The 12352-nt window shown below is 45.0% G+C and overlaps 1 long non-coding RNA gene across 1 annotated transcript; it reads left to right on the top strand.

The window, feature by feature from the left end:
- The first annotated feature begins 1574 nt into the window (after positions 1–1574).
- On the top strand, positions 1575–6579 carry LOC105376409 (uncharacterized). Its single transcript, XR_930656.2, has 3 exons — positions 1575–1691; positions 5013–5219; positions 6270–6579. It is a non-coding gene; the product is annotated as an uncharacterized LOC105376409 (long non-coding RNA).
- The last annotated feature ends 5773 nt before the right edge of the window (positions 6580–12352 follow it).

The raw sequence follows: 12352 nt of genomic DNA, 5'->3' as shown, positions 1-12352 counted from the left end.
TTCTTTTGTAGGGACAGGGTCTCGCTATGTTGCCCAGGTTGAACTTGAACTCCCAGCCTCAAGCGATCCTCCCACCTCAGCCTTCCAAAGCACTGGGATTACAGGCATTAGCCACCACACCTGGCCTACAGTGAACAATCTTGTTTCCAGGTTTTTACTATTATAAACAGCAGTGCAGTGAACAATCTTAGACTTTTTTTTTTTTTGAAGAAATTGGCATTAAAAAGTATCTTTCTTTCTTTCTTTTTTTGAGACAGAGTCTCTCTCTGTCACCCAGGCTGGAGTGCAGTGGCATGATCTCTGCTCACTGCAACCTCTGCCTCCTGGGTTCGAGCGATTCTTGTGCCTCAGACTCCTGAGTAGCTGGGACTACAGGCGCCTGCCACCACACCTGGCTAATTTTGGTATTTTTAGTAGAGACAGGGTTTCACCGTGTTGGCCAGGCTGGTCTCAAACTCCTGGCCTCAAGTGATCCGCCTGCTTTGGCCTCCCAACATGCTGGGATTACAGGCATGAGCCACCGCACCTGGCCTAAAAGGTATCTTTAAATTATGGAAATTATATAAAAAATATAAGTAAGAGAATATTCAACTTTACTAAGTAGTGCCAAGTTTCTATCCAAGGAGTATCTTACCAGTTTATTCTTCCATCAGAAGTTTAAGACTTTTTCTCCACATTAAATAGTCAGATTTTTGTTTTGAAAAGATTACTCAAGTTGCAAAGTAATCTTTTCAAAACAACTATGCCTACATCTCAATTTCAGCCCAGTGAGCCCTATTGTAGACTTTTGACCTCCAAAGTTGTATCATCATAAATTTGTGTTGTTGTTAAGCTGCTAAGTTGAGGGTAATTTGTTACAGTAGCAATAGGAAGCTAATACAAGCCTGTATTCGTCTGTTCTCATGGGGAGGAATGAGGGGGAATGCAGGAAGGGCCCAGGCAAATGGAGAATTAAGAGCTGGGCCAGGCAAGTTTCTTCTGCTGAAAACTTGCAGTGGAGAACTGTCCCTGCAGCACGATACCGCCTTTTGATGTTTTCCATTATATTGGCATCGGGCGGACAAGAATAGAATTATCTGCTTGTCAAGTGTTAACAATCAAATATCAAATTGTGTGGGAGGCCCAACAGCTACTCTTTGTAGAAAATTATTATTTATTTTTTATTTAACAGAACTCGAGGTTGAGAGGCTGCCCCACAGTGGCCTTCTGTGGCGCTGGTGTTTTCTGTGCTTTGGCTCAGCCCGGGCTGTTTATTATGCAAGTGCTGTATTGCAAATGTGGAACAAAGGAAGCCGAGATATCAAATTAATACTGTGATCTGTTTTTCTGTTTTGTTGCCATAACAATCTGTGGCTCTTGAAGCAAAGAGAAAATTAGAATTGTATTAAAGGTGTTTACACCATGTACGCCCCATCCTGCATGATTATTTATTGCTATAAGAAGTGTATTTCACATTTGCTCAAGGAGAGTGAACTGCTTTTTCCCTCATGACTTTTCTAATAATCCTTCCAACCTGGCCTTGCTTTTGACCTTGGCTTTTTCTCATTGTTCTGAGCAGGACAGAAGAAGGAGGTTCAGTCGGATGCCTTTTGACTTCATGACTCCTATTAATAGATACCCCTTCGCTTCTCCCCAGTCCTTGGAGCTCTTTAAAGTCAAGAGTCTTGGATAGAAACAAAACAGGACTTGGCGTAAGTTTTCCCTTTTTCTTTGTCTCCTTCCTGACCTCTAAACCTGATTAGGAGGCCTGTCATCCTTTGGGAGAGATGAAAAAAAGCTGAGGGGTAAAAGAAAGGATAGTTAGAATAAGAGAAAGGATAATTGGAGTAAAAGAAAGGATAACTGGGGTAATTGGAGCCCCAGAAGAAGTGCAGCGGAAATTCATATGGCCAAAAGAGAAACAGGGTGCCGGTCCTCTAAAATCCCCCTCACCTAACCACGCTGCCAATGTCAAGCACTTAACTGCTCAGAGACTTCTTTGAGGCCTTTTCTGCCCCAAGCATCCCAGTCTGAGTCACAGGGTGGCTGCAATGATGGGGCTGATGTGGTGTGAGCCCCGTGACTAAGTAGATCCATTTCCTCAGGTGGGACAGTCCGCTTGGGACTGTCCAGTGCTCTAAGGTCTTTGAAAGCAGGTGTTGCTCCTGCTCCTTTTGTCAGCCTGCAATTCCTAGAACAGTTCTAGGCACATATGAGAAGCCAAAGAAGTACTTCATCCACTGGTTGTTCGGGCCGTTATGATGACATACCTAAAGAATATCCTCATAGTGAGGGAAGATAGGATTAAAAAGGCACAACTCTGGGTGAATATGGCCAATTTTTGAGTGTCTATGGCTCCAGAGAGAATAGAATGAAGGCTGGGCATGGTGGCTCACACCTGTTATCCCAGCAATCTGGGAGGCCAAGGTGGGCAGATCACTTGAGTCCAGGAGTTCGAGACCAGCCTGGCCAACATGGCGAAATCTCATCTCTACTAAAAGTACAAAAAGTTAGCCAGGTGTGGTGGCATGCACCTGTAGTCCCAGCTACTCAGGAGGCTGAGGCAGGAGACTTCCTTGAACCTGGGAGGCAGAGGTTGCAGTGAGCCAAGATTATGCCACTGCGCTCCAGCCTGGGCGACAGAGCAAGACTCTGTTGCCAAAGGAAAAAAAAAAAGAATGAAAAGGAATATTTTGAATCCTTCTTAGAAGAGCCTTCAGGGGATTTGTTTCTATTTTCTTCTTCTTCATCAGGAAAGAACATGGGCAGAGGGGGAGGTGTGGGGACCTGTGACCCTCTAAGCAAAGAGATCAGAGCCACAGAGGCCCTAGGTGAGAATAGATTCCGCAATGTCTTGCTGTTGTCCTTTACGGCCCAGGGTACCTGCAGCCAGGTCTAAAGCCCAGAGCCAGATTAAGGCCCTTTTGTATATGAGCCTCTTTGTCAGCAGGAGAAACTCAAACCTGGGATTGTCCCTGGTCATTCCAGTGCTACTGGATGAAAGAGCCCATGGGGACTGAGAAAAATTCAGCCTTTCTCTCAACACCAAATTAATTTACTTTCTCAAATTCTTGTACACAGGCACACACACACACACACACACACACACACACACACACACACTCTTAAGAAAGGATAAAGAGTACAAAAATGAGTCTGGAGGTCCAGGTTCGTGGGTGAGCGGTCACAGTGTTACCAAGGGGGGTAGCTGCGTGTGAGTATGATAACTTCCATCCCCAGGGAGAAGCGTGAAATGGAAGGAATATTAATCAGGAAACTGGAAGGAGGATGCTGGGGAAAGGATGGGCGGGGCAGGAGGATATAAGACAGTTGGGCAAGGTTGGCTCTGAGCATATCAGGAAAAAGGCAAATTATGTCTTTCATGTCTCCCACTTCTCGCTGTAGAGAATATCCTCATAGTGAGGGAAGATGGGCTTTAAAAGGCATTTTCTAGAAAGTTCTGAGCATATCAGGGGAAACGCAAATCATACACATTTGCTTTTGCACATTTGCTTTCTAGAAAATGCCTTTCAGAACTTTCTAGAAAACGGGCAGTAACTTCCTGGTCACTGGCACAGAAAAGGGCGGTAACTTCCAGGTCATTGCCATGGCATTTGTAAACTGTCATGGTGCTGGTTGGAGTGTCTTATGCTAATGAGCAATGAGGGCAGCTAGGGATGCTTTCCTGCCATCTGCTGGTTCCCGCCAAAGTGAAGAACCCCACTTTTCTGTGCAGAGGCACAGTCCTAGGGCAGAGGTGCCTCTGGAACTAAGGACATGGCAGCAAAAGACAAACACGAGGCAAGTTTTGGTCTTCCCCAAACACTGATGTTTTGTTTTTATGAGTAACCTGATGACATGTTCCATCTTAATCACTTTCACTGGTGGACATTTCTGAGAAGGGTGAGTAACTTTAGTTAATTTCTTTTTCCCAATGGATCTAAATTGCTTATAAAGTGGCACATGTCCTACTTCAGTGCAGTCATCTGTTCTGATTCCAAAGTTTACATTATAGTGTGTTTATTTCCATGCCAGCCCTTTCCTGAGGCGTAGAGATGTGAAGTAACCCATCTAAGTTCACACTGAGAGTAAGTTCACATCAACCAGAGTGACGGCAGAGCATTTTGCCATTCTGCTTCTTTCAGCAAGCATCAGTGTGTGTGTGAGGAGGGACCTTGGGGGCTTCACTGCACTTCAGTTGAATCCCCTTGTATCCATATGGTCTGACTGTCTGTGACTGAAACACAGTCATGAGAGCAGGCTGAGGTTGCTGTCACTCTGAGGAAGGAGAACTGCAGGACTTATTTCCTGATCCTTAAAGGATGAAGTGAAAAAACTGGCAGGAACAGGCAGATGGTACAAAAGGGATCCCTAGCTGCCCTCACTGCTCATTAGCATAAGGCAGTCCCAACAGCACCATGACAGTTTACAAATGCCATGGCAACGATCCAAAAGTGATTGCCCCTTTCCTTGGCAAGGACCTGGAAGTTACTTCCCATTTCCTAGAAAGTTCTGAATAACCTGTCCCTCAGTTTGCATTAACCTGGCCTTTAATTTGCATGTAATTGAAAGTGGGCATAAGTGGATATAAATGCAGTTGCCAGCAGCCCACAGGTGTGGCTCTGGGGGGCACTGCCTAGGAGTTAGCTCTCCTCTGCAAGCAGCAGTGCCCTTCAATAAAAGCTTGTTATCTAATAGTGCTGGCTGGCCTTTGAATTCTTTCCTGCATAAAGCCAAGAACCCTCCTGGGTTAAGCCCCAGTTTGGGGGCTCACCTGCCTGCATCATCCTGGCAACCACAGAGGGAAGAAGCCAGACAGTGAGACACAGCAATGGCAAGAGACAGCAAGATGGCAAAACGTGACCAGTGGGATGGTGCGAGGTGACAGTCCATGATTGTTAAGATGGCGAGATGGCAAGAAGCAGGAGTTGGTGGTTGGTGATGTGGCGATCAAAGCTGTGGAGAGCTGTTGGCACTGCAGAGAGCTGGAACACTAGCCACACGCCTTTTGAAAGCCATGGTCTTTCTTGCAGGTGGTGGCAGCAGAACTGAGTGGACGGGTGAGTGGCCACAGCGCTGCCTTGTGTGAGACCCACTACCCCGGCTGACTGGGCACTGGACCACATGCTGGACACATCACAGCTGCCAAGTCTGCCCAAGCTGGGGAAACCTGGGGAAGAGACCTTCGCCTGAGCGCCATGTTAGAGACTGGTTGGCACCACTGTGGCTTCTGCAGACAGGTAAGTGTCCCCTTTGCCCCCCCCACCCCCAACAGTATCAGGTGAGGCAGGAAATGAGGCCTTTGGATAGGTAGTCAATTCAAAGCCCCCCGCTATTTGGTTGCCCTGGACAGAAGCACACCTGACCTGCCATGTCCTTGTCAGCCTTTCTCTCCATTGTTTCTCCCCTAATGCCATCCACATAATTTTTCCATTGGCCGTTTCATTTTATTTTCCACCTTGAAATACATTTTTTTTTGAGATGGAGTCTCTCTCTGCCACCTAGGCTGAAGTGCAGTGGCATGATCTTGGCTCACTGCATCTACCGCCTCCTGGGTTTAAGCAATTTTCATGCCTCAGCCTCCCAAGTAACTGGGACTGCAGTAGTGTACCACTACGCCTGGCTAATTTTTGTACTTTTAGTAGAAAGGGGGTTTCGTCATGTTGTCCAGGCTGCTCTTGAAACGCCTGGCTCGGCCTCCCAAAGTGTTGGGATTATGGGTGTGAGACACCATGCCCAGCCTGAAATGCATATTTCATTTGTAGCTTTTGCTTTGGTTCCCTTCTAACTGTATTTGGGTAATTGTTTAAGGCAGAACACTTGGTTGGAGAGGTCTCCTGTTGTGTTGATTCTGAGACACCAGAATCACGTTGTTCTGTGGCCCTACCTGGCCTTTGGGGTTCACTGTTTCCTGGCTCCTTGGATGCTCTAGGGCTTTTGGTATTTGGTGGGGGGATCCTCATTGGCTGATACTTGGGTACTCTGGGTTTTTGATATTTGGTATTGTTGGCTACGCCCAAGATGCTCTGGGGTTTTCAGCGTTGACATTCCCTCTAGGATTGTGGGTTGGAGGCCCACCCTAGGGGAGTCTTAGTCTTGCCTTTTCTTGTTTTCTGCCCTAAAGTTATCATTTTCCATAGAAGCATTTTCTTTTCTTATTGTTACTTTATTTACACTTTTCCTTCTGCACGTTGCTTAATAAAAATACTTCTGTAGTGTTTAATTCACTGGCAAACACTTATAATATATTTTGTAATACCTTGCTACCTATACGTACACCTTCCCTACAGGAAGTGCGAATCTGAAAGGAAGAACTGCGAGGGCCCAGTTGCTTTCCCTCTCACTAGCCTTAGAAAAGCTTCTTTGTCTGGTGAAGATTCTTCTTAGACAAGCGGACAATGGCGAACATCCGAAAAGACTTGCCAGTAGGGTGTCTTTAAGGCTTTTGGTGAAAATTGAAATTCGACTTAAAAAGAAACTCATTTTCTATTGCAGCATCATTTGGGTCCAATAAAAATTAGAAAACCAAGAGATTTGGCTTAAACGTGGTTCTTTATACCATAATGCTATTTTATAATTGGACTTACTTGGTTAAAAAAAAAAAGGAGGGGCCAGGTGCAGTGGCTCATGCCTTTTATCCCAGCACTTTGGGAGGTCGAGGAGGGAAGATAGCTTGAGGTTGGAGTTCAAGACCCATCTGGGCAACATAGCAATACCCCATCTCTACAAAAAAAAAAAAAAAAATGCTGGGCATGGTGGTATGCACCTGTAGTCCTAGCTACTCTGGGAGGTTGAGGCAAGAGGATCATTTGAGCCCAAGGGTTGGAGGCTGCAGTTAGCTGTGACTGTGCCACTGCGCTCCAGCCTGGGTGACAGAGCAAAGTCTCAATAAAAAAGGAAAATGGGAAGAGGTCCCTTATGTACAGGCTTTTATGGCCCTTTACTGGCTTATGTTACTTCCAGGCACCAGGAAGTCATGCTTAAGGAATTCCCTCCTAGCTGCTCCCCCTAGAAGGCCTACACCCTCCTCCAGAGTCTCCTCAGCTCCCCCAATTCAGAGGGAGGGTTCCCACCAGGTCTGTAACACAGGATTCCACCCCAAGGTCATCAGGTACCCCTCTCCTTATCCAACTGTCCCCAGCCTATCCCCCCTACTGCCTGAGGAAGTAAGCCCAACCAGTACCACCAAAAGTGTGGTCCTGTATCAGCCCCTGAAATCAAACCTGTGTCCATTGTGGGAGGTAGCCAAAAGGAATAAAAGAATAATCAGAGTACATGCACCTTTTTCTATGCCTGGCTTGGCTTTATGCAAGGAAAAATCTGGCCAGTTCTTAGAGAATCCAGGAACATTTGTAGAAGAGTTTATTAAATTGACCATGTCCTTTGATTTACTTGGCATGACTTGCAAGTATTGTCATCCACTTTCTGTGCTGCACAGAAGAGGCAGAGAAAAAGGTGTGTGGTTAAGCCAGTAATCCTAACAATGTTAACAAAGTAACTTAGGGAAAAAATGAAAATCCCATTCAGGGCTGAATGGTTGAGGCACTCAGGAAATATTTACTAAGGTAAATCCAGACACCCCAGAAGTGGAAGCTCTCTTGGGTATGCATTTTATGACTCAGTCTGCCTCTGACATTAGGAGGAAGCTATAAAAAGCAGCAGTGGGACCCCAAACCCTGATGAGCCAACTCTGGAACATGGTCTTTAGAGTTTACAATAGGGACAGGGCAAAGAGGGCAGAGAGACCCAAAAGAAATAGCGAAAAAGCACAATTGCTAGTGAATGCTTTAAACCATCTGGCCCCTCAGGGTTACCTATCCCAAGAAAGTGTCATGAGATCAGCATCTGGGATACCCAGATGAAAGCCCCTGACTTGCTGGCCCCTGGGCTGGAATCAGCGTGCCTACTGTAAACAAGAGGGCCATTGTCAATGAGAAAGTTCTAACCATCCTGATGAAAGAGGGAAAAAGCTACCGTCAATACTAGAGCTAACCTTCTTCCAATTGCTCCCAACCAGCTGCCTTGCTCAAGTGATATTACTGGGGGTCCCAGGCCCTTGACCTGACTGACAGACATCTTCCCTCTGTGGCAGACAAGTGGCCGTCTGGATGTTTCTCTTTGGTGTCTCTGCTGCTAAGTGGACTCTCTGCTGGCTCAGGTCTCCCCTTGAACAGTGGGGTTTGCCCCCTCCCTTCTACGGGATCCCCTTCCTTGACTCTCCCTGTTTTCCATACCTATCAGGGCAAACAAAATTTGGCTAGGTTGACAGGTCCCAATTTTGCAAATAACTTGGATCCAGCTGTCTTGGATAGGTCACTTTGTGTGATGTGTGTTGTGTCTAGTGTGCTGTCAAATTGGCTTATAAGTAAAAGATCGCTCATAAATTAAACAAGTAAGACTAAACTTATTAGTTTAAAGGGAATATTGCATCTTCTAAAATTTAACTTTAAAATTTTTATTTAGGTAAACCACTGATATTTGTAGGTGTTAGAATGATTAAAACGGCTTTAAATGATGAGCTTTTTGTGTGGTTTAAAGTCTTAAAATTATAGAATGGTTCCTTATCTATAAAGTCCCAATATCTGATAGGCAGTTTAGGATTTCTTGCTTCCTAGGTTTATATAAAATAAGCCAAAGAAGATGTATCCTTTATTGGGAAAAAGAATAGTCTTTGTCTAATTCAGAAGTTATTAAAAAGGAAGTTCAAAATACAAAGAAACCAGTAAGTAGAAAAGAGAGATGTAAAAAAAAGTTATTGGTAAGGAAGGATATAAAGAATAATTTTCTATAAAAAAGATCTTATATGATAAATTCTTGTCCTAGGGTAGAATGACTGATTATTTAAATAAGCAGTAGTATTAGACAAGTCAGAAAGTCCAAGTGTGTCAGAGGTGGTCTAAGTTGTGATAAGGTTTGTAAAGGGGAATTTATAAAGGAATTTTGTGTGTAATTAATTTGGCTGTCATTAAAAGAGAATTGTTTCTAATAGTCTTTCTAGAGAACGGTCCCATGTTAAAACAAGGTTTCCCTAAGGTACAGATTTGCTGTTAATAAAATTATAAAAATGTTTGCTTTTCAATTCTATAACATGTTTCTTTGAAAAACTTCACAGATTCTGATATGTTTAGGCCATGTCCCCCATCTAATCTTGAATTGTAACTCCCACAATTCCCACATGTCATGGGAGGAGCCCAGTGGGAGGTAATTGAATCATGGGGGTGGGTCTTTCCCGTGCTGTTCCCGTGATAGTGAATAAGTCTCACGAGATCCGGTGGTTTTAAAAACGGGAGTTTCCCTGCACAAGCTCCCTTTTTGCCTGCTGCCATCCATGTAAGGTGTGAGTTGCTCCTCCTTGCCTTCCACCATGATTGTGAGGCCTCCCCAGCCATGTGGAACTGTAAGTCCATTAAACCTCTTTCTTTTGTAAATTGCCTAGTCTTGGGTATATCTTTATCAGTAGCATGAAAATGGACTAATACAGATTCCTAACTCAAAAGTTCAACCGTTGTGTCAGGCTGCTCTCAGCACTGTCCCCCTTTGGGAAGGCCCATGATGATAACCATCTCCTTTAGCTTTTTCATCAGTGCCTGTAATATTTTTTCCTCTGGTTCCCACTGTTGTTATGGCCTGATGCTAAGATGCTAAAATATTTTATCTTAATGCCTAGAAAAGCAATGTTTTCTCCTAGTATAACTTGAACCTGTACTCTTGGTTTTTTCTTGATGTATAATCTTATTTTTGGCTTTTAGGTTTTGACTCTTATATTGCTTAAAAGGGTTTTAAGGGCTAATGAATGCCTGCCTACCTCCATTCCTGTCTGGCCTAGAATGTTTAGTTGGTTGTAAGTCCCTCGGCCAAAGAGAATCCCAAAGAAACCTGAAAAACTCAGGCAATGACATGAAATAGGGGGTTGGACATGCCTCACTGTGCCTCCCCTTGAAATCTGGGCAAGGTACAAACGGTCTTCCAACATTATGAAAATAAAGGATTGCCCTTTCCCATAAAAGAAAAGAATAGCCTCCCCTATTCAACCAGCAGCTTTGCCTTACTGAAAATTTTTTAAAAAGGACCCCCCCACCACTGGATCAATTACAACTCATCAGGTATTGTAAAGTGTCCTCACTGCTATTAAACTTCAGGGAATCACTAGCTGGGTAAACCTGTCCAGGATGAAACCTGTTTCTCTTAAGTCTCCACAGGTATAAGAGGAGGACAACATGACTTACACTTGTGAACCCCTAAAAGACTTAAAGCTGCTGTTTCACAAATGCACAAATACATAATATGACAAGGAAGAGTGTATGCAATAATAAACCACACCCATTATTCTCACTTGTTTGTTTTTTTTAACTTTCCTAAGACTTTTGACAGCTATTTTATTATTACTAACTTTTGACCCTTGCTTAACTTCTTTTTTTTTTTCCCTGAGATGGAGTTTCACTCTTGTTGCCCAGGCTGGAGTGCAATGGTGCGATCTCGGCTCACCGCAACCTGTGCCTCCTGGGTCAAGCAATTCTCCTGCCTCAGCCTCCTGAGTAGCTGGGATTATAGGCATGCACCACCACACCTGGCTAATTTTGTATTTTTAGTAGAGATGGGGTTTCTCCATGTTGGTCAGGCTGGTCTCGAACTCCCGACCTCAGGTGATCCATCTGTCTTGGTCTCCCAAAGTGCTGGGATTACAGGCGTGAGCCACCACACCTGATCGCTGTTTAACTTCTTAGTAAAGTCTGTGCCTTCTAGACTATGACAATTCCATGTGAAGATGATGCTGCACAAGGCTTGCCACCCATCCAGTTGTCTGACTCGGAGAATACAAACATCCTTCCATAGGGCCCCTTAGATCAGGTCCAGAGATTTTACTCCTCCAACACTAGGCAGGGCCTATGCCCATAAAATCAGAAAGAAGCAGTTACAGAAGAAAGACCTCTGCTCTTCTGCTGTCCCCTTAAGAGTAAGGAGCAATATCTAATCTTTGAGAGGGAAATGAGGGAGGAGACCAGCAGGACTTACCTCCCTATCCCCACAAGATGAAGTGAAAAAACCAGCAGGAACCAGCAGATGGTGACAAAACCAGGTGCCTGGCTGCCCTCATTGCTCATTCACATAAGACACTCCCATCAGTGCCATTTCAGTTTACCAACGCCATGGCAACAACCAGGAAGCTACTGGCCCTTTCCAAGGCAGTGACTCGAAGTTATTTCCTCTTTCCTAGAAAGTTCTGAATAACCCAACCCTCAATTTGCATGTGATTGAAAGTGGGCACAAGTGGGTATAAATGCACTTGCCAAGAGCCCACAAGTGTGGCTCTGGGCACACTGCCTATGAGTTAGCCCGGCAAGGAGCAGTACGGTTCAATAATAGATTGCTAACACCAGGGGCTCACTCTTGAATTCTTTCCTGGACAAAGTCAAACAGTGTTGGGGCTTGCCTGCCGTACATCAACGCTATTTGCAGAAACATGTGCATTCTATCTTATGTAATACATGACAGCTTTATTTGTTCCAAATAAATACCTGAGAGGATACAACTCTGTGGGTTTGGCAGATAAAATGCCACTATTATGCTTCCTTTAAAAACGTTCATGGAAGGGGAGGCTTTTTTGGTGTGTGAGGAGATGATATTGTGAAATATCAAGATCACTTACCTCCCAGGGACAAACACACGCCTTCTTCCCTACGACACTACCCTGACTGAGGGTACAAGAAGTGGCCTCTGTTTTCCCAAAGTAGGATTGCCAGATTTAGCAAATAAAACCAGAGGATGCCTAGTTAAATTTGAAAATAACAGATAAACAACAGTTTCAGTATGTCCCAAGTAATGCATGGACGATACTTAAACGTTTATTGTTTTCCTGAGACTGAGCGCCCTGTATTTTCTCTGGCACCTCTACCCCAAAGGAGAGTGAAACCAAAAAGACCAAAATATCCGAAGGACCAAATGCTTGGCTTCCAAGTTTAAGAATTGTGGTCTAGTGTAAAACAGGAAGTAGGGGAAAGAATTCTTGCTGGGTTTTATTTTTCTGCCTGAGATGGGAAAAGTTCTGGAGTGCCTTAGAAAGTGGCTATGGTGACTGTAGCTGCTCTCTGCCCCTCTCTTTGCTTGGCTGCAGCAGGAGGGATAGAGGGCAATAGACTCCGCAGGCGCCTGCAGCCAGGGCATGGGAGCAGGGCATGGGAGCAGAACGTGGACGCGGGCTTTGAGCGGCTCCGCCCACTCTGCCTCACCTGCTTCCGGTCCCAGAGAGTTGTGCGCCAGCAACCGGATGTTCCAGGGTTCCTCGCGGCCTTGCAGGTGCTCAGGCCGGGAGCAGGCCTGTGCTGTCATCGAGGGGCGCCCCTAGGTGCGGTGGGACTAACTCCACCTCCGCCGG

This window comes from Homo sapiens, chromosome 10 (genome assembly GCF_000001405.40).
Source record: "Homo sapiens chromosome 10, GRCh38.p14 Primary Assembly".
NCBI classification, from domain to species: Eukaryota; Metazoa; Chordata; class Mammalia; order Primates; family Hominidae; genus Homo; species Homo sapiens.
This window is presented reverse-complemented; position numbering and strand designations above follow the sequence as displayed.